At 36.6% G+C, this 23,006-nt stretch overlaps 1 protein-coding gene across 10 annotated transcripts in view, besides 1 other annotated feature; it reads right to left on the minus strand.

The window, feature by feature from the left end:
- HELZ (helicase with zinc finger) overlaps positions 1-23,006 on the minus strand; it is a 175,546-nt gene that overhangs the window by 105,911 nt on the left and 46,629 nt on the right. For 8 of the 10 annotated variants that reach the window (XR_001752712.3, XM_047437225.1, XM_047437224.1 and 5 more), the window contains exons 8-13: positions 19,065-19,116; positions 17,613-17,688; positions 13,803-14,001; positions 13,235-13,342; positions 11,965-12,262; positions 2,305-2,572 (exon numbers count right to left, since the gene is read on the minus strand). Coding sequence is in view for 9 of the 10 variants with exons in the window: in XM_047437225.1 (XP_047293181.1) it covers positions 2,305-2,572; positions 11,965-12,262; positions 13,235-13,342; positions 13,803-14,001; positions 17,613-17,688; positions 19,065-19,116 (1,001 nt within the window). In the remaining variant the exon portion in view is untranslated. Of the gene's footprint in view, positions 1-2,304; positions 2,573-8,657; positions 8,682-11,964; positions 12,263-13,234; positions 13,343-13,802; positions 14,002-17,612; positions 17,689-19,064; positions 19,117-23,006 lie in introns of those variants that run through there. The other 2 variants (XM_047437226.1, XM_047437227.1) reach the window with 2 other exon arrangements.
- Positions 17,819-18,113: a silencer, noted in NCBI's record as "tiled region #3705; HepG2 Repressive DNase matched - State 14:Gen5'". NCBI's record gives its function as "represses a minimal TATA promoter and a strong SV40 promoter by Sharpr-MPRA in HepG2 cells {active_cell/tissue: HepG2}" and the evidence as "EXISTENCE:reporter gene assay evidence [ECO:0000049][PMID:27701403]".

The following is a 23,006-nucleotide window of genomic DNA, read 5'->3' on the forward strand; positions in this document are numbered from 1 at the left end:
GTTGTATAACATTCAATCATATAGCTATATCATAATTAACTTATTCTTCACTACTCTTTGCAAGACATGTGTCCAGACATCTTTGACTCTGATTATTGCTTATGATCCCCCATATGTGGAATTTCCACACCAAAAGATTCAAACTTAAGGTCCTGGATACAAACTGCCAAACAGCTCTCCAGATAGATCACACAAACTGGGCCAGGGGCGGTGGCTCATGCCTGTAATCCCAGCACCTTGGGAGGCCAGAGCGGGTGGATCACTTGAGCCCAGGAGTTCCAGATCTTCCCTGGGCAACATGGCAAAATCCCATCTCTACAAAAAATACAAAATGAAGCCGGTATGGTGATGCACACCTGCAGTCTCAGCCACTCAGCGTCTCCAGTTAGGCTGGAGATGATCACCCCAGCCCGGGAGGTTGAGGCTGCAGTGAGCCAAAACCATGCCACTGCATTCCAGCCTCAGTGACAGAGTGAGACCCTGTCTCAAAATAGTAATAATTTTTTTTAAAAAGATCACACCAACTTAGTTTGCCATCAGTGCTAATATTTTTAAGGCCCTCTCATACTGGCTTTGAAAGCCTTCGCAAGGTACTCATAGAGTGCACTTTCAACTATTCAGTTTCTCTTTTTTTTTTTTTTTGAAACAGGGTCTCTCTTTCTCTCACCCAAGCAGTGATGTAATCATAGCTCACTGAAGCCTAGACCTCCTGGGCTCAAGCGATTCTCCCACCTCAGACCTCAAACTGACCCACATCATGCCTGATTATTTAACTTTTTGTAGAGATGAGGTCTCACTATGTTGCCCAGGCTGGTCTCAAACTCTTGAGCACAAGCAATCCATCCACCTCAGCCTCCCAAAGTGCTACAATTACAGGTGTGAGCCACCACACCCAGCCTTAGTTACTTGATCAGTATTTAACCTCTACAATTTTGTAGGGTTTCTCCTTTTTTCCATCCAGACAAGTTTCCACTTTTAAAAGATTATTTTGAATATAATAATACTAAGCTTTTTAGGCTTCACATGCACATTCTAAAGTAATGGAATGATTTATCAACCTTAATAAAATATTAAACAAATAAAAGTTAATATATAATTTTTTCTGAATTCCTACTATGATACTCAAAAATAGTCTCCAGGATTCTGGTAAGCTTTTAAATTATATTTAATCCCAATATTTACGATTTATCATGGTGTTCTTTCCTAAGAAAAAGGAATCCATGATAATATAAATAATATAGATGATATAACCCACTGTCCTTCTTATTTAACAGCCTACAGACACAATTGATAAAAAAAAAAAGCCTTTTAAGACACCATCAATGGGCCAGGATTTAAAGTCTTAGAGTAATGAAAAATAGATTCCATCTGACTTTGTAAATTTTACATGTATTTAATTTGAAATTAGGTATTTTCAAAAGTTAGATCATAACTAATCTATAAATAGGGTGACCAAAATATCTATAAGTTTTCACTTTCTTTTCCTTTCTGAATATACTCTTAATGAGTGTTCAGTATTTATTAATAATACTAATGATAAGGAACCATAAGGCATCCTGGAGAAGAAAAATATGCTGGTTCAGCTGTATTTAAAAGTAAAACTACTTATAAAAATGTATTCAGGTCTCATAATTGTGGTTCAGTTTTTAAGGCTTGTCTCCAGTTTATCTAAAATATATTAATAGAAAGCTACTACCAAATACAACTATTTCACTAATCTTCCCTCACTCTAACTTTCTTTTCTGAGATTATTTTTCCTAAAATAATTCAAATAAGCTTTTGATTTAAGCACTTGGTCTTAACCTGTGGCATATGGATAAAATGTAAAATATGTTAACGTATTTATAAACTGCTATAAAGCTGTTTTATTAACCCGTTTTCCTGAAAATCTAAATAATTTCATTCCTAAAACAACTTTTCAAAATATGTGGTCTCTTTCGGTTGTTGTATATCTGTTCAACAAATACTCATTCAGTGCTTGCTATGACTACCATTGACTGAAAGCTTCTTAAGAGCAGGAACCACGGATTTATACTCCCGGCATCTGGCAAAGAGCTTGTCCCCTAATAGATGTTTAATAAGGTCTTATAGAAATGAACTATGTGCTAAATAACAGGGATACCATGGTGAGCATGAGACAGTTCTTGCCTTAAGAAGCTCATATTTCCTTTAAAGATAGAATACAGTTATTCAATAACAACCATTTACTACCTGTCTTCACTTAGGCACACTTTCATTTTAAAGATTAGAAATACCATCCAAAGGGGAGATTTTTTGTTTTAAAGTGTTTCTAAAGTAACTTACTTGCTGATTTCTTTATACTGGGCTATCTCCTCAATATAAAGAAGGTCATGTAACCGTGACTGATAGTTGCTCTTGGTCAATGATTTGTCTAAAACGGACTGAGTAAATAGCTGGTCAGCAGAGAGGGGAATTTGGTATCTGATAAGAAGGCTCTTCTCCAAATCAGTAGTTTCATTAGGTTCAAAATCTATAATAGTCTTAGAGGAAGAATCCCAACGTTTAGCTGTGGTTACTAGCTGCTGTTTTGCATGCATCAGGTATTCGAGATCTAAATGGAAACAAAAAACACATTTATAAAGAAACAGAACATTAAAATTTTTAAATAACATTAAAATTCTTAACTATATTACATATTTTTGTATGAGAATTGTATATGCTAGAGCTCAAATTCTTAAAAACAAAACAATGCAAATACCCATTGACTATTTCCCCCATATCAAAAAACAAAACAAAACAAAATAACATTAGTATAAATCCATGTTTAAAAAAAAAACTTTTTATCAGGCTAGGACATACTAGAAATTAACATTTTTAAAATACAGATTAACATTTAGAACTTAACTCTTCAGTCAAGAGAAATTTGAATCTGCGTGAAAAAGATATGATAAATTCTTCATAGGTTTTATCAGATGATAATCACTTTCTCTTCCTACTACCAATACCCATCCCATTATAGAAAGAGAAGATCAAAAACTGTAAAAGGTTAAATCTTTTCTTGTGTGATAAAGCACAATGAAACTACAGTATCTTTAAGTCAACTTACTATAAACAAAAATCTTTTCGAAAATATTAATGTAAAACACTGCTAAGTCCTTATTAAAATGCAGTACAATGCCATTCAAATGTCATTTCCAAAAAATCCAGGTTAGCCTTCGTTAAATTATACTGTAAGTAGGGCACAATGTCAAAACAAATGACTGTTCAAGTTCTGACATACCAGGGGAAAAAAAGTAGCACAATACCAGCACAAGATGAAATCCATAGTAACATAAACTCTGAGCACTGGGTTGGCTCACTCTATATGTAGTGCGTATTACTTTTCTATTGAGTGAAACATACATATACCTAAAAAAGAAAACTTAACCAAAAGAAAAAAAAAATGTAACCTTACTGATACATTACACCAAGACTTTGACATAACATAATTGGAAAAACGGTTTCACAACTCAGATTAAAATTTTAGGAAGAAATAATTAAAAGTTAGACAAAGATCAGTCTCCAAAGTACAAATTATCCTAAACTATCTTTGAAATGACAACATAATGCACAATTGCCATGTCTTTTTTAGTGAGAGATTTGGCAACATTTAAATGTTACATATATATTATAAACATGAGCCTAGTCATTCACCAAGATTAATGTCTCAATAGTGGCAAATAGCTTATCCAAATAATCTTAGTAATTTCTAACCTTTGCTCCTTGAAAAGCCATTTTCACATGCCAGTTTTATTTCTCAAAGGGCAACACAAATACCATTATAACCATCAAATGTAAAGATGGTCTGCTTATTAAAAACTTGCACTTTAAAAATACTCTGGATTGGGGCTGCGCACAGTAGCTCCCGCCTGTAACCCCATCACGTTGGGAGGTCAAGGCAGGAGGATCGCTTGAGGTCAGGAGTTCAAGACTAGATTGAACAACATAGTGAGACCCTGTCTCTAAAAAAATAAAATAAAAATATACGATAAAATTAACTATCATTAAAAAAAATACTCTGGATTGATGGTCTGTTTTTGCAATAGCCTCACAAGCAGAAGTTTCCTAATGTACACTAACCACATTTTCTTCCTAAATCACTTTGACAGCCAGGCACGGTGGCTCACGCCTATAATCCTGGTACTTTAGGAAGCTGAAGCGGGAGGATCACATGAGGTCAGGAGTTCCAGAACAGCATAGCCAACATGGAGAAATCCTGTCCCTACTGAAAATACAAAAATTGCGGGGCACAATGGCTCAAACCTGTAATCCTAGCAGTTTGGGAGGCTGAGGCAGGTGGATTGTCTGAGCTCAGGAGTTCAAGACCAGCCTGAGCAACACGGTGAAACCCAGTCTCTACTAAAATACAAGAAATTAGCTGGGCGTGGTGGCGGGTGCCTGTAGTCCCAGCTACTCGGGAGGCTGAGGCCGGAGAATGGCGTGAACCCGGAAGGCGGAGCTTGCAGTGAGCGGAGATCGCGCCACTGCACTCCAGCCTGGGCGACAGAGTGAGACTCCATCTCAAAAAAAAAAAAAAAAAAAAAAAATTTTAGCCAGGCATGATGGCATGCACGTGTAATCCCAGCTACTTAGGAGACTGAGGCAGGAGAATCACTTGAACCCAAGAGGCAGAGGATGCAGTGAGCCAAGATCGCGCCACTGCACTCCAGCCTGGCGACAGAGCCAGACTCTGTCTCAAAAAATAAATAAATAAATAAATACTAAACTCTACATAATAGTAAGGAATCTATTTAGTATGTAGCTTTTAAAGGAGGTCTAACTACTCTTTGGTGGTGGGGAGATTATATTTCATAATTTTATTTTACATTTCACTTTAAAAAAATTAATTCAGACTGTGCCTAGATTACTATTATGTTCATATACTTTAAAAAGTCACTAGTTATTCCTAACTGATGTTTAAGTAGCTGAGACAAGAACAAACCTAAAATGACAGAGCTTTCCCTGGAAAATGCTTTTTGATTCACCTACCTAATATACAAACAAAATGCAGAAAGCTTTTCTACTCTGGGTTAACAGTATTCAGGCTTTTGGGGAAAAGTGGCATGAGCAATAGCAGTATTTGTTTTTCTCATTATCTATATAGTACCCTGATTCCCACCTGGATTTTATGAAACTCTTAAATGCTTGTATCAAAATATCACACATACTTCATAAATGTATACAACTATTATGTATCCATAAAAATTAAAAATTAAATGTTAAGTGTCTTTAGCAGGTAGCACAGTAATTTCAAAACAATTCTCCAACAATGCTAAATTTTATTCCATTTACTTTTTTTAATGACTTTAAACACAGTGCAGGGGAAAGGAAAACTAGGGGAGCAAAAAGAATCTTGAAAAAAAAATCCACATATTCCAGCAACAAAAAGCCTACAAACTACTGATCTAAGTCTTTAACTCGGATGTCAAAAATGAACTATGGCCAGTGACTACTACTAAGGATACGGTATGCAAAACCCATTTCTCTTTCCCTACTTCATCTGAATTTGAGTCAAACTTCCAGCTCCATTCCTCTCACTTGTACAAAGAAACTTACTAAACTGATTTAATGACCCACCTAACTTACAGTGCTTAAAGGTCACCTCATAAATAGCAGAAGGATGTGGGTCCCTTATGGGGACACTGGGCATGACTCCTACTGGGGCTCTTTGTCATCTCCACCTACAGCACATGCGTACCTGCTAACACCTCAGCACTCAGGGCAGCCTGAGCCAGTGCATCCTTGGCATGCGTTTTCTTCAGCCTAGATTAGGCTAAAGTGAAAAACACTGGAAAATTGAGAAGTGGCCAGGCGCAGTGGCTCATGCCTGTAATCCCAGCATTTTGGGAGGCCAAGGAAGGCAGGTCACCTGAGGTCAGGAGTTCAAGACCAGCCTGGTCAACATGGCGAAACCCCATCTCTACTAAAAATACAAAAAAAAATAGCCGGGTATGATAGCTCGTGCCTGTAGTCCCAGCTACTCCAGAGGCTGAGGCAGGAGAATCGCTTGAACCCAGGAGGTGGAGGTTGCAGTGAGCCAACACTGCACCACTGTATTCTAGCCTGGGTGACAAAGCAAGACTCAGTATCAAAAAAAACAGAAAGATGAGAAGTGAGCAGGTTAGGATCAATATTCATAAAACCATTTAGGAATTTAACTTTAACAGTGACTTATTAACCAATTCTTACAATAATAAATCTCAAAGCAAACCTGACAGAAATTACAGACCTATGGAATGTGTTACCCTGAGATGTGCTAGGCAAAAACTATAAACAGATTTTAATAGAAATCCATAAGTTAAAGATAATTAGAATACACCTAATCTTTTGAAGATAACAGTCTTTTGAAGGGGTTCCGCTATCAAAAATAGAATTCAAGGTTGAAATAACTACTCTAACACAAGATACATTTCCCAACTTCCCTTGGCCTTCTGACCCTGAGAATAGCAGTGCTTGCATTTCAACCACATCTTTACTATTCTAATAAAGCATCCAAAGGGTGGGTTTGTTTCGTCTTGAAGTATATAGTATAGCAGACTTGAAAAATACCTTTAACAGGACCTGGAAGGTAGATAAGAAGAAAATAAGCGGTGGGGAAATCGAGTGTTCTAAGTACCCAGCACAAGGGTTGACATGTAAGAGGCAGGTAATAAATGGGTGTTAAATATGGAATTTATTAAAACCTGCTATATTTATCTAGGACTTAGAGAATGAGATGAAATGCTTCCTAATTCCAAAATCAGATACCACACTCTTCCTTAGAAAATATTTTGGTATGTGGCTTTACAAATCTTGACTGCCCAAATTAACAATAAAATAAAATCCCACAGTAATCCCAAACTACTGCTTCAGTGATCCATTTCTATATCCTTTCTTTCACCCAAACTGCCACATGGAAGCAAGGTGAATCTCTCTCAGCTTGCCTATGTTAACTGTCCCTATTTCTCTCTCTGAAAGAGGCTAACAAAAAGTTAAAACAGCAGAGTAAGAGCATTAAGAAATACCTCATGCTTTTTACATACTTCTATTCAGTTTCTTTTATTGACAAACTATTTAAGTCTATTTTTCTATTACTTTTCTGATCATGTAACAGTATGTAGATATATAATATGTTCTTAACTTACCAACAACTTTGGTAGTTGGGAATACTTTCTAAGATAGACTAAATTTTAATGCTAATGTTAACATAGATAGCTAGACTCAAACTAGAGAAATAAATGATATCAAGTTTCCATATTTAACTCCAAGAGTTCATTTTCAGCATGTTGCTTCCAGATATTCAAAACAGAATTCCAAATCAATTTTGCCAAACAAAAATTTTCCATTAATCAAGTTGTGGTATAAACCATAAGAATGCAGTCTGTTTTCTAAACAGGGGATAACTCACTAGCTTCCTTCCTTTGCAGATGCCTTTGCCACATATTTTTGAAAAGCCTATCCTTAGTCCAGAAGCTTTTTTAGTATATAGTGTCTTTTTCTGAACCCGAATCTCCCCAACAAGGGAAAAAAAAAACTACAAAAAGCAAAACTAAAGTCACTCATATTTCCTAAAGAGTTTTCAGGATTGCCAAAATGACTAGAGAAAAAAAATATTTGTTCATGGCCTACGAATAGAAAAGGTCTGGATGCTTTAGGTACAGTGACAGTAATATTTAAAAAAAAAAAGAAACCCAAAACCTATGTTTATTTTCCTCCAATTCAAATTTGAATTAACTAAAGTAGGATTTTTAGTTCAATACTTAACAATGAACTAGAGAAATATAAACATTTGCTATATAACTTGATTTTAAGTTTCAATGAGTAACACACTAACATAACTAAGTTACATGAACATATCAGTTTGACAGACACTGAGAGCCAATGATTAACTGAGCTACACTGTCTCTAAGAGGGAAATAATGCATGCTGCATTTCTAAACTTATTTGTACATGGCATTCTACACCTTCGGTGTTATTATTAATTTTAGTGGAACATAATTTAGAAAATGCTAAGCTAATAGCCTAGCATGGTCCAAATTTATAAACTTATGCAAGAGAAATACGGTTCCAGCATTCATTTAAGGACAAAAACTTGCTTAAAAACAATGAACACCCAATCAAGTGGAAGATGCAATAAATATTTCCCACTGAGAAGGAGTAATCTCTAAAAAAAAGAACATACTGGCCGGGCATGGTGGCTCATGCCTATAATCTCAGCACTCTGGGAGGCTGAGGTAGAAGGATCACTTGAGCCTAGGACTTCGAGACCAGCCTGAGCAACACAGAGAGACCTTGTCTCTACAAAAAAAGACTTTTTTAATTAACTTTTTTAATTAGCCAGGCATGGTGGTGTGCACTGATAGTCTCAACTGCTTAGGAGGCTGAGGTGGGAAGATCACTTGAGCCTAGGAGTTCAAGGCTGCAGTGAGCTATAATCACACCACTGCACTCCAGCCTGGGCAACAGAGCAAGACTCTGTCTCTAAACAAATAAATAAATAAATAAATAAATAAATAGAGATATTTCCCATTCAAATTCCAGTTTCACAGAATCACTAAGTTTCCTTGTGTATGCAAAAACCAAATTATATTATAATTTATAATATTTTCGAAACCATATGGAAATATGACAGATCCCAGACCTAATTGAATTCCCAATTGCATTTGGCCAACTTATACCTGGAATGACACTTTTCTCCTAATTCCAGGCCAAGGAAGATCCAATGATGAACTGGCTGAGGCTGAAGATCAAATTAGCCAGGCTGTCAGATTGTCACCAATTTAACAAAGCAGTTATCTTGCTCTCAATGTCTCTGAATGTTGTCCACACAAGTATTCCAGGAAAAGATACAAAATAGGACACTGCCATTTTACATTTTTATTGTCTCAGAACATTTTATAAAATTGTAATTTCACATAAACAAATTGTTTGCCCATAAACATATTTTCTGCTGACATGGACTCTCCCGTGATAATCAAAAACACTAACTGTAATAGTACTGAGATAAAAGCAAGAAACAAATATTACACTACTTATATTCTGCTTTTATTTCTTTACAATTCTGTTAGGACTCTCCACATAATCACAATGAAACAAAAGTAGTCACGCAATAAAAATTTCAAGAGTTAACAAAATGGTAAGATATTCAATGACATCAATTTTAAGGGTGGGGAAGTTATCAAAGAGCTAAAAATTAGCATAAGTCATTATGCTGATGACCAAAAAAAGTTAGCCCAATATCATCTAGCTTGCCTAAAACCTAGATCTAAGTTTTCCTTTCCCCAACTTTCAAAATCTTACATAAGAAAATGCATTTTGTAGATTTCATACTGTTTGTTATTTCTCCTTTGTCTTTAAACAAATTTCACTATGTGAAATCATTTTAATGTTTCCAAATTAGTCCAAGAAAATGCTTAAGTTTTTTCAATTATTTTCTATCACATAACTACTTAAAAGTAAAATCTTAAAGGAAAAAAGGCAAAGACATCAAACTACAAAGAAGTCACTAAAAAAAGGATATGGTATTATGAAAAAAGAGGAGGATATCCTTGTCTATATAAATCCTCTCTACCACATCTGAATGAAATGTAAAACTTAATTTTCAAACTAATATGTTAGAAATATCAGAAAGGAGATTCTTTGTTTCTTCCAGCTACCAGGCTCAAAACATCAATCATCTTGGAAAACTACGCTTTCAACTCCTACAATGTGTTCTCTTGCCAACATCTGCAGGCACTGTGGCCTCAAGGGCTCTCTGCTTTTTAAGTCCTCTGCTTGCACCCTAGTCCGAGTCCTCATTTTAAAAAACAAAAACAAAATAAAGAAACAAAAAAAAAACCCAACTCTTCTCTTTTCCTACTTTCTTCCTTTTGTGTATAAGCCAGAAATTATCCTAATCAAGGCTAATTATAAACATAATAGCTACTATTAACTAAACGTCTACTATGAGCCTGATGTCGTACGAGGCTTCAGGTTGTCACAATGATCTATGACAGGTATTACTAGCCCCATTTTACAGATGTTTCCCCGTGAAGCCCAGAGAAGTTAAGTACTCTGCCCAGGCTCACACAGGCAATAAGTCGAAAATCAGGATTCAAATCCTATTCTATTTGACTCTGATTTTTGTCCTCTGCTCTTCTCCAACAAGAAAAGTAACTCGTATCTGAGGCAGAAGTAGTCAAAGTACTTTTACTCTTCTCAAGCCTATGAAAGTACCCTGAGCTCCTTTTCATCACCACCTTTTCTAATTATCATGTTTTAATACTATCGTTCTTTTACATTTTACTGCAGACATTTAACATTTTATATTATTAATTAAATATTTTACTAACTAATAAGAATTCTTGACAGCACTTACAAACATTTCTATGGGTAAAGGAGTCTGAGTTATAAGCCACTAACCTACAAGCAAATTTCTAAAATACAACCCACATGTAAGCCAAGAACATCCTTTACAGTTATATTTGAGAGTAGGAAATGTATGTTGTTCTCTCTTTATGACTTAAATCTCTTTATGATTTAAAAAGGATGCTGCTTAGTGGTTCTCAAGGTCTGGTCTCTAAAAGCAACTTACTAGTTCAGGGGTAGGCAAACTACAACACGAAAGTCAAATGTAGCCATTGTTTTTGAAAATAAAGTTTTATTGGAACACAGTCACACCCATTTGCTTATGCATTGTCTATGGCTGCTTTCTCATTACGACGCAGAGCTGAGTAGTTGCAACAGAGATCACCTGCCCTGCAACACCTAAAATATTAACCGTCTGGCCCTCTGCAGAAAGAATTTGCCAAATACTATGCTAATATATATAAGCCAAATACTTTATTTTTATTTTATCAACTACCATATCTATTTAGCTATGGAAATTAATTTATTCTGATTCCAAAGAGTACTGAAAAGATGACAAAAATACATACTACAGAATAAAAACAAGTAAAAGGGATCAAAGTCAGTGGGAAATAAGGGTAAAGTGAAGTCTGGGTAATCTTAGCACACGTAGAAGAAGATGTCACCTAACTGTTAAATTTGGGCACCATCGTTGTTTCAACCTTACTAGCAGCTAAAGTAAAGAGGAAGACAGACCAATTTCACCTTTTCACTATGTGAAAAAAAATAAAATTCTAGCATTCGCTAATGAGAAAAACTACTTCTAGGTTCTCATGAATGGGACATTATGGTACATAGTAAAAAACGTCCTCCACAATATGGTTAGTTATAGTCAATACAAAAGCAAGTTTCACACAGCTCTGCTTTTTGAAGTGTTTGTTAAATAAAAAGTTTTTGTTAAATAGAATAGAACACCTATAAATCCAACCAAGAGCAAAGGAAATGTGGGCTAACATGTCCTTTCTTTGTCCTGTTGGATCTTGGCATAAAATTTAGATATAGGCAATAAATTGACAATGTACAAAGTAATTCCTTATGTCATGCTTACATGATGAAACCAGGGACCTCTTCCCAAAAACAAAGAGCAGATTTGATTAAAGGCACCCTTGGCCTCCTTAACACTAGTGGATGCACAAACTGATTTATGAAGGCTTATTATACTCAAGACTTTTCATTCAGAAACAATGTACTAACATCAGCAAAGTTAACTAGTCAATAGGACATGAAAATAAACATTGTAGGTATATACACAATTACCATTAAAATGATATTCTACCCAAACTAATATTGAAAGATATTACTGTGCTAAAACCATCTTACTGTGAAATGAAACTGGTAGACCAAAACAGGTCTGATCATCTACTCATACAAGTTTGGGGAACCTCAAAGTTCAAGCTTTACCTGGTGGCTCTGTGAAGAAATCAGGGCACAGTGTGAATCATTATAAGCCCATTACACAGTAAATGAGTCAATTAAGTTGGGATTTTTTTCTTTATTACTATTCTCTTCCTATCCATGGAATATATTCAGGGGCCAATACATATCTTTGAATGTTGCTTTTTAACACATTGTATCGGGGGAAAAAAGTCTAAATATTACCTTCTGTAGAAGCTGCATCAATCATTACTCTTTGCATGAGTACTGGTTCCAATCCAAAGTCGAAAACTATGGTTTGGCGAAAAGTTCCAAATATTTCTGTGTTAAATGCTATCCCGACTTTATACACGTAATGATCTAATCCATTTTGGGCCATCTTTCCTCCTATCCATTCTTGACAGTTTTCTGGGACTTCTTGTGATACCTGGGTAGTACTATCTCCGGCAGATATTGCAATGATACTAAAATGAGGACGATGAGCATCATAAAGCAATGCTACACGATACAGCATTCTTGCAGGCTACAAGGAAGTTAAAATAATTCATTGAGTACAAGGGGGTGAAAAATCCAATTGTAATTGGGCTCTTCAATGAAAATATTTCCATAAGGGACTTTTACTTCCCCAAGCTTCTAAGATACTATAGCCATTTAAGAAAAAAATCAGAATGGTTTTTTAAAATCAGTTGTTAAAATTATTTATTTATGCTATATCGCTAGCCTCCCTTCTCTTCCTGTGACATGTTCATTTTTCACTGTGGCAAAAGCTATCACCCTATATAACCATCAACCTTCAAACTTTCCATACTCTTCACCTACAGAAGTTTCATGTAGCCTCAAGTAGGAAGCCTTCGTAAGAGGGCAGTTACCTCTGAAAGCACTGGATTGGGTTCAAGGCTGAAGCTAACTGTTCTTAGATTTTTCATCTCCAGATACAGAAAGTACAGCAGAAGAAATGCCACAAAAAAGACAAAAACTTTTCCACTGAGCATACTCACAGAAACTTTTTACTTTGCTTCGATCTTAAACTTTGACTACTATAATTTAAGATGGGAAGCACTGCAGAAAATGCCCCATATTAAAAACCCATTATCACAGAATTTGTGACTTCATCATATCAAATATAAAAACAAGTTGTTATGGTTTAAAAATCTTAGAACTACTAGAATAAACAATTTTTAAGTAGTTAATTACAAGCCATGAACCCCATCCTATGTCCCAAGTTTAGAAGACAATATGTCAAAGATCTCTTTACCAAATAAATAAATATGAAAGCACCCTAAATATCTACAAAGATCTCATCTAAAAGTATTTTTAAAATTGTACTTTTAATGATCAAAGTACAGAAATATACTTTAGTACAATATAGAACCTATATATAATGTACTTAGATTAAAATATTTTCAATATTCTTTAACACAGAGATTCAAAGGTCAAAAAAACGTTCAGAAAATTAAACACAACTTTTATGCTTTAACTAGCACAAAATTCATACCTTACAAGTGAGAGCAAAGGTCCATGTCTGGTGGGATTTTTTGGTGCTGACAGTAACTGACAGGTCAGGATTGTGCTCTACCTTTACTCCTTCTATACATTCACTAAGCTGAAAACAGACAGCAATTTATGTTATGTTTTTATTGCTAAGGGCACAAACAAAATCTTTTAGCATGGAAAATAAATGTCAACAGTTAAGATGATGATGGAACTGTTTACAGACCAAAGTATTTTATACCTTCATTTTCAGTAATTTTGACAAGAACAAAATATAGTAAAGCTAAAATAAGAGAGAAAAGAAAATTAACCACCACCACAAAAATGGCACTCAAAAACTGCCTGAATGAAGGTAATTAATACAGTACAGGCAAATCTCCAAACAAGTGGTTTAGTTCTGCTCTTCATTTTAACAAATGGGTCTACTATAGCTACTAAAAACATCATTCTATCAGAATCAAGTTCTTTGCAAAGAAGATAAGGAAATAAACCAAAATAGAGCACACAATAAAGTCAAGACTCAAGTTCATTGTTTAAGACAAACAAAAAATAATGTAGCTTATTTTCCTCACCACTTTCTCAGGAGACAATGAATTCATCCACTTTTCTATCAAGGTTTCCATGTAACTGCCTGAGAGCTGTTTATTCTCATTTTGCTGTTTCAATTTTATCAGCCGTGAAGCATATCTTTTCTGCCATTCTGCTAGTTCTTCCTGGGAATGTGCTGAAGTACACTGGGCACCATACCTACAGATTCCTTGTTCTAAAAATCTAAGTAGAATAGGAAAGACTGTTTTATCATATACTTTGTTGAACCATTTAAAAATAAACTCCCAGCATTTGCCCTCTGATTCTTCAATAAAAACAAAACTTCATGTGCTGAAAGGCCATATTTATCGTACTGTCTTGTACAAAGGAGGGAGAAGAGGTTTAGAGAACATTTACAACAGTTAACCAAAACATCAGCTCCCCATATTATTCACTGACTTTCTCTGGAATTAGGGGATCCTAAGGCATAGGTATTCACGTCGGCCCTCCAAAAGAGGCACTGAAAAGTAGCTTCCTTGGTCATATAAGGACTCTTACTAGACAATTCCTCTTAGTGTAACTGGGTTTTGTTTTTGATTTTTTGTTTTTTGTTTTTGAGACGGAGTCTCACTCCGTTGCCCAGGCTGGAGTGCAGTGGCGTAATCTCGACTCACTGCAACCTCTGCCTCCTGGTTTCAAGCAATTCTCTGCCTCAGCCTCCCGGGTAGCTGGGATTACAGGCGCCCGCCACCACGCCTGGCTAGTTTTTGTATTTTTAGTAGAGACGGGGTTTCATCATCTTGGCCAGGCTGGTCTTGAACTCCTGACTTGGTGATCCACCCGCCTCGGCCTCCCAAAGTGCTGGGATTATAGGCGTGAGCCACCACGCCCAGCCAGAGTAGGATTTTTTTAAGCAATACTGACATCAAGTGGATTTGCTGCTCACACACAGGTATACCCTACTTCCCAAAATGATAAGGACCTTAAAAAAATTTTCTATATATGGGAATTTCATTCTGAAAAAACAGTTAACATATGACTAATTACCATTTTAAGGCTTTTACTTTTCACCTTTAAACATAGTGATTTTACTCTTTTCTACATTACTATTACCTATATTTCAGTGAAAATATATTAACTTGCTTGAAGCTTTAAATAAATTTAGAATCAAAGTTTTATATTACAGAGTCACAAATTTATTCAACAGTCATGTTAAATTCAAGGGAATAAATTATAAATGTTCATTTTAAAGGACAGAGAGTCAATGATTTCTCGACGTTTACAACTCGGAAAATTCAACTGACAATTCAGTGACCAAAAACAGATAAAAATAAAATACTTTGATAATTTTTTTTTTTGGAGATAGTCTCGCTCTGTTGCCCAGGCTAGAGCGCAGTGGCACGATCTCGGCTCACTGCAGCCTCTGCCTCCCGGGTTCAAGGGATGCTCCTGCCTCAGCCTTCAGAGTAGCTGGGATTACAGGTGCCTGCCACCACAATGCCCGGCTAGTTTTTGTATTTTTAGTAGAGATGGGGTTGCATGTTGGCCAGGCTGGTCTCGAACTCCTGACCTCAAGTGATCCACCTGCCTTGGCCTCCCAAAGAGCTGGGATTACAGGCATGAGTCACCATGCCCGGCCCTGATCATTAACTTTTTTTTTTTTTTTTTGAGATGGCATTAACTTTTTAAAAAAGTTTTAAATACCCTGCAAAATTATAGGCAAAGCCAGTTTTTAAATAAAAATAATAAAAACATTGATAAAAGATCTTCTGAGAAAAAATGAAAATTAAACTAGAAATATAATTAAATGGCCGGGCACAGTGGCTCACGCCTGTAATCCCAGCACTTTGGGAGGCCAAGGCAGGCGCATCACCTGAGGTCGGGAGTTCAAGACCAGCCTGACCAACATGCAGAAACCCTGTCTCTACTAAAAATAGAAAATTAGCCGGGGTGGTGGCACATGCCTATAATCCCAGCTACTTGGGAGGCTGAGGCAGGAGAATCGCTTGAACCCGGGAGGCGGAGGTTGCAGTAAGCCGAGATCATGCCATTGCACTCCAGCCTGGGCAACAAGAGCAAAACTCTGTCTCAAAAATAAAAAAAAATACATAATTAAATGTAAATATAATATAAAACTATAAATAGCAAAAGAGAGATGTTATATTACAGACCATTTTTCAATTGGAAAAAATATGGATAGTAAGAAATAAGAAATGAACCACAGCACAATATGAATTTTCAAATGGTTCACCGTATTTGAAAAAATGAGTATATTTAAAACTTTTCCTGATGGTACAACAAAGTACTTGAACTTAAAATTATACTATTTATTAAATTCTCTTACACTTTTGAAGACACATTTAAAATCATTTTATGTTTCTTTTCAATATGTCTTAATGGGCCAAATCTTTGTCTTTCTATTGCTTGGCTTTAAATTATTTCCCTAAAAAGTGAAAGTGTTATATTCTTATCTGTACTTCAAATCTTCTCATATTTCCTTTTCATAGGATTGTGTTCTGTCTCTTCTACAACATAACACCACTAGGATTTTCAATACTTACACATTAGTTTCCTGACTATTCAATAATCAAAACCATGTAGCAAATTTCCTTCGCTATCAAAAGTAATCTAAAGAGGCGGTGAGAATTTATATCTAAAAATCCCACTAGTTACAAGTTCTTACAAAAAGAACCGAAGAGTTTACCATTTTAACTGTAACTTTAATCATTCCTTCCACATTAATAAATAATTATTAAATTTTGAAAGGTTAGCCCTTCATTATGAATTATTCATAAATTCTACATAAGAATTACATGAAGATAATATTTTTCAGAAAGGTTAAAACAATTTAACATTTCTTTATCTATTTTATGCTCTACTTTTTACATAAAGTATTGTCAACTTCAATCACCACAACCTAAGTAAATTTCACATTAACAAATGGCCATGGCCAGGTGTGGTGGCTCACATCTGTAATCCCAGCATTTTGGGAGGCCAAGGCAGGAGGATTGCTTGAGCTCAGGAGTTCAAAACCAGCCTGAGCAACATGGTGAAACCCCATCTCTACAAAAAAAATACAAAAATCAGCCAGGCTTGGTGGCACACGCCTGTAGTCCCAGCTACTTGGGAGGCTGAGGTGAGAGGATCATTTGAGCCTGGGAGGCAGAGATTGCGGTGAGCTGTGATCAAGCCACTGCACTCCCAACTGGGCAACAGAATGAGACTCTGTCTCAAAAAAAAAAAAAAAAAAAGAAAAGAAAAACAAAAGGACAGAAATTAAGTTCAGCCATAATAATACAACTGGTATTATAAAAGACTACTGAGGCCAGGCACAGTGGCTCACGCCTCTAATCCCAGCACTTTGGGAGGCCAAAGTGGGCACATCACAAGATCAGGAGTTCAAGACCAGCCTGGCCAACATAGTGAAACCCTGTCTCTACTAAACATACAAAAAATTAGCCAGTGTGGTGGCACATGCCTGTAATCCCAGATACTCAGGAGGCTGAGGCAGGAGAATCACTTAAAGCCGGGAGGCAGAGGTTGCCGTGAGCCAAGATTGTGCCACTGCATTCTAGCCTGGGCAATAGGGCGAGACTCCATCTCAAAAAAAATAAATAGATAAAAAATAAAAGACTACTGAACAGTCTTAACAACCTGCATTTAGATCATTGCTGTTTAGAATTAAAGGAAGAGAACTCATCAATATGGTTTTGACTTTTATTACTTAATGATAATGACCTTTATGGCTTCTGTTTCAAATTGAAAATAAACCATTTTACTCCATTAGATAAGGAAAATTATCTGTCCTTTCAACAAGACATGTCATTGTTTAAAAACAAAAAAATTCACATTACCTTTTACACAAAGTATATTCCTCGCTGCTTGTGATTCCCCTAGGTGGTGGGCGGAAATGCCAACCATTACAAGACCCTAGGGAGTAATTAGGATATAGTCTTATCATTTGAGGCTAGCCAGTAATTCTGATATTTTAATGTGTAAGAGATACTACAATCCCTCCACATACATCATCCCATATGATGTAAAAAAGAACATGACATACTTGCCTCTACCAAAAAGTAATCTACCAATCAACTACATAAAACATAGGAATCACTGAAGAGGCAGTTTCCCAGCAGTTAGTTAAAATCAAGCTGGTGACTCTGACTCTGTCCTAGCAACTGGTGGACAGGTTTCCAGTGCAATCTCTTCCCTAACAACACAAGGCGGGTGGCTGGCATACTTGTCATTTCTTAGGCATGGGATGTTTGTCTATCAGGAATTCCTTCAGGGATGAAAAAAATCATTGTATCCTGGAAGGAAAGCTTACATAACAAATTCCACTACTGCACAGTGAGAAGAAGTTCCATGTTATCACATTATCACCCATGTTCCTTAAGATTTGTCTGACACGTCACTGTAGAATATAATCCTTTTTTAAAATTGAAATAAAGTTCAAAAAGTTTAATTCTGAGATAGGAGCTAAAAACACAGTATTTACTTACTTGTGAATACAATGAGCTTTGATTTGTTTGGATAGGAGTTTCCAAATAAACCAGGGAAAATAAGGATAATGAGAAAAAAAGGCTAGAACTTTATAGAGGTTGAGCAGCAACAAGTTTCAAGGAACTTATAGCCATTTTCTACTCCCTCACAAGTCACTATGCCCCCCAGAAAAGGAAAAGAAAGATATTCAGCCAGGTTGAGTTTAAAGCTGTGCTTCATCTCTATACTAGCTGTGTGACTTTAGGGCAACTCATAAACCTTAATGTCAGTTTCATCACCTGTCAAAAAGATGCAGAAGGACTCTAAGTCAGTACATGTTTTGTGAAAGCCAATGCCCATAGTACACAGCATTCAGCAGGCACTCAATGAATGTTCTTCTTTTCCCTTTCCTCTGGTGAGAGGAGAGGAGATCACAGAGTTTCATTAGGGCAGGAACAACTCAGCTCACAGATCAAAACTTCCAAAAAGTAATAACTGTACTAGCTTAGGACAGAGAGAGAAGAAAAGTCTTCCCTCTATAGATTGTTAAGAATGATGTTTAAATTTAGTCCTACACGGAGGCAAGAAAATAAACTAAATGACCTCTGAAGTTACCTCCTACCTCCATTACTCCATTATTCTATGAAAAGGTGCCAGGGAGAAAATTGCTTTCAACTACACCTACTTCTTAAAATTAAAATCTTATATTCTCTCCTACATCTCCACTTATATGTACTGTAACTCAGTAAATTTTCTCCCAATAATTAATAAAAGCAAAGCCCTTATTCACAGCTACCAGAAGTTACACAGCATTTGGCACTTACCCTCATCTAAGTCTTCCACGTGATATCCAGAGAGGGCGTTACTAGTTGCTGTCTGCAATTTTCCAAATGAAAGAATTTTTTAAACAAGAATAACGTTGATGCTGAACTAAACTTGAACATTTTCAATATTAAAACAAAGGTGAAGTTGGAATACTCAGAAATTTTTAATAACATTAATATGTTGCCAATGATTTTTGTTTTTTTCTACGTTAAACTATAATTAAATATGGAAAACATATTTGTGAGGCTCTCATTAAGGAAGCTGATAGAGGCCTCCTACATAGAAATTAGCTGGCAGCAGAAGAGAAGTCCAAGTCCCCAGTCTTGAACCTCACAGGCTAGCACCTTCCATCCATTTATTCACTTTACTCTCCTCTTCATAACACCTAGAAAATGTCTGATTACAGAGGTTTCTTTTCCTTTTTTTTTTTTTCTTTTTTTTTTTTTTTTTGGGACAAAGTCTTGCTCTTTTGCCCAGGCTGGAGTGAAGTGGCGCAAACTCAGCTCACTGCAACCTCCACCCCCCGGGTTCAAGTGATTCTCCTGCCTCAGCCTTCTGAGTAGCTGGAATTACAGATGCCCACCACCACGCCTGACTAATTTTTATATTTTTAGTAGAGATGGGGTTTCACCATGTTGGCCAGGCTGGTCTCCAACTCCTGACCTCAGGTGATCCGCCCGCCTCGGCCTCCTAAAGTGCTAGAATTATAGGCGTGAGCCACCACGCCCGGCTAGAGGTTCCTTTTTCTTGCAGCTAATGGCATGCTACCACTTTGGAGCCTGGGAGCACTTACTGCTAGGTACCCCACTCACTCTGAGATGAGCCCTTCTCCCACAGAGGAGTCCAAGGCTAGGGATCCATTCACTCTAACATCCTCAGATAAACCACCAATCAGCGCATTTGGCTCTAACTTTACCCTAAGCTCTACACTTCCAATTTCAACAAAGCGCCAACCATAGCACTTTTTCTAAACTATTCTGTAGTATTTTACATGCTAGATCGTTATCAGCGATATACACATCTGCTGTCAGCAGTCTGTAACTGCCTTTCTATATTCTTGCACCTCTCAAAGTATCTGGCACATAATAATGGGTGCTCAGTAAATGTTGGATGAGTGGGTGGGTGGATAAACAGATAGATGGTTGGTTAGTTGGATGGATGGATGGATGGATGGATGGATGGATGGGTGCATGGGTGGGTGGATGGGAACATGGGTGGGTGGATGGGAACATGGGTAGGTGGTTGGGTGGGTGGGTGGATGGATAAATGGATGATTCACCTAAGCACTTTAAATGCAATGGGCCCAAAGCAAAATTCATCAACTTTATCCTAAAGTTGATCCTTCTTCAGTGCTCCTTATCACAAGTTAATGGATTCTTCTTACCCAAAGAGAGCCAAGCTGAAATTTTCAAAGCCATCTTGAACTCCTCCCTCTTCTATCCTGCTCTGAATATTCTCCAAATCTTGTCCAAACAGGTCTAGAATGTCTCTCATCTCTCTTACATTCTCTCCTCCCACTGCCACTGTCCTAGGTAAAGCCCTCATTACCGCTTGTCTCATTTATCCCTGAACCAACTGACAGCTTGCCAATCTTGCCTTATATCAAGTCACCTGTGGGTCTTTACTAAGTGATATGGTTTGGCTGTGTTCCCACCCAAATCTCATCTTGAATTGTAGCTCCCATAATTCCCTTGTGTTGTGGGAGGGACCCAGTGGGAGATAACTGAATCATGGGGGCAATTTCCCCCATATCGTTCTTGTGGTAGTGAGTAAGTCTGATAACATCTAATGGTTTTATAAGGGGAAACCCCTTTCACTTGACTCTCATTCTTCTCTTGTCTGCCGCCATGTGAGATGTACCTTTCACCTTCTGCTGATTGTGAGCCCTCCCCAGCCACATGGAACTGTGAGTCCATTAAACCTCTCTTTTGTAAATTGCCCAGTCTCAAGTATGTCTTTATTAGCAGCGTGAAAACAGACTAATATACTTAGCTATCCCTATCCTTTAAACTCAGTTCTCACACTTCTGCCCCCCTGATTTCCCTGCAGAGTTTTCCCCTTTCCCTGCCTGTATTTTGTGATAGCACTTACTGACTGCAGGCTGCCCTGTGTGCACATTAGCTGTGTGCATCTCTGACTGACCTGCCAGATTGCTTTTCATGGACATCTCAGCTTTCCAGAGCCTTGAACAGCACAGGTGCTCAGTAAATGTTAAACTGAATCAGAAGGAGTAAACAGTATCCCAAGATGAAATCTGGAATATCTTGTACCATAGAAAGAACGTCAGAATGCTAACGGGTCATAACTGAAACAATACTATCACTATAATTTATATGTGGTTGATTAAATTGTACTTTTTAGGTTGGGCTTGAACTAAACTCTGTAATACTGTTTCCACAGGAAAATGCCTTCTGATTATCAGTAAAGCACTTACTAAGGAGTTTTTAAAAAGCAAGCCATTCTTTTTGTAAAACGAAGGGCTGAATATAAGAATACACAGATTAACAAATCAGGAGTAATTATTCATATTATTAGCATTCTACGCTGCAAAAAAAATTAAAAAAAAGCCATTAAAAGATCTCTTTAAATTCTTCAAGCAAGGTCTATGTGCCACTGTCACAAACTAGCCCTTCAAATGATTCTATTTACATAACATATATAAATAGATAGGCTAAAAATTAACTGCAAGTAGGAAAATTTTAAAGTATCTCCTTTTTAAAACCTATCAAAATAAATTTATCAAATGTGCAAGAAAAATAATGGGAATAAAAATGTTTGATAAACATTATTAAAATGTTTTGGTCATAAAATAAAGCCTAAAACACTTATAAATGTTGGAGAGAACACCACACAGTGCATTTCAGCAGTCAGCACCTGTAAGAATCAGTGACGACCCGCACGGGCCTGTGCTGACACTGAGCTCTAGGTCTCCTGGGGATCTGGGGAGCAGCACATGCTCAGCAGAGAACTGGTAAAGTAAGGCACTCAGCCTGGCTAAGTATTTAGCAGTCCTGGCTTTTAGGTTCCAAAGTGTTGTGTTTGTTTTTTAAACACTCTTTTTATGCACTTATACTCCAAAACAAAAAGGCAACAGTTTATCATCATTAGTCTTTACCGACACCTTCAGGAAAAATGGCCAAAGATTACACTGCTAGAACTATAAATTCAGAATCAAATCTATTAATCAGATATTTTAAATGTTACTAAAGAATATTTACTAAAGAATACTTGTTTTTGTTTTCATAAATCAGTCTTGAGTTCCAGGTCTTTATTCTCATCCATTAGCATTTACAAGTTAAATACCAGCTTAGCCCAATTTTTAAATAACAAATTGTTGCCATTTTTAAATGTGTCATGTGCAATAATAAATAAGGGTAGCACTGTTTGTTAGCTTTTCCTAAACGGTTATCTTTTAATAATATCAATTCACTAACCAAAAAGACTACTACTCTAGTTAGATAGAAAAAAATTACAAAAACTTAAGTCACTTCTTCCAAAAGTATAGTCACAAAATAAGAGTCAAGTGATATATGTGGCCTTACATGCAACAGGATTATAAACATTAAAAATAAAATAAATTGCATGTGATTATCAGATGTAAAGTTGGTAATTCAATTAAGGCAATAAAAGAAGAACAAAGCCAAAAATCTTAACAAAATGAAAGGTCATTTTATGCTGTCATTTTAAAAGTCTAAAACATCTACAACTGCCTTCTGTTACTTCTTAGAAATTAAAACGGCTACATATACACTATTAGGTTGGTGCAAAAGTAATTGCGATTTTGCCATTACTTTTTTTTTTTTTTTTTTTTGAGACAGAGTCTCACTCTGTCGCCCAGGCTGGAATACAGTGGTGCAATCTCAGCTCACTGCAACTTCCGCCTCCTGGGTTCAAGCCATTCTCCTGTCTCAGCCTCCTGAGTAGCTGGGATTACAGGCTCC

This window comes from Homo sapiens, chromosome 17, assembly GCF_000001405.40.
Source record: "Homo sapiens chromosome 17, GRCh38.p14 Primary Assembly".
NCBI lineage: Eukaryota > Metazoa > Chordata > Mammalia > Primates > Hominidae > Homo > Homo sapiens.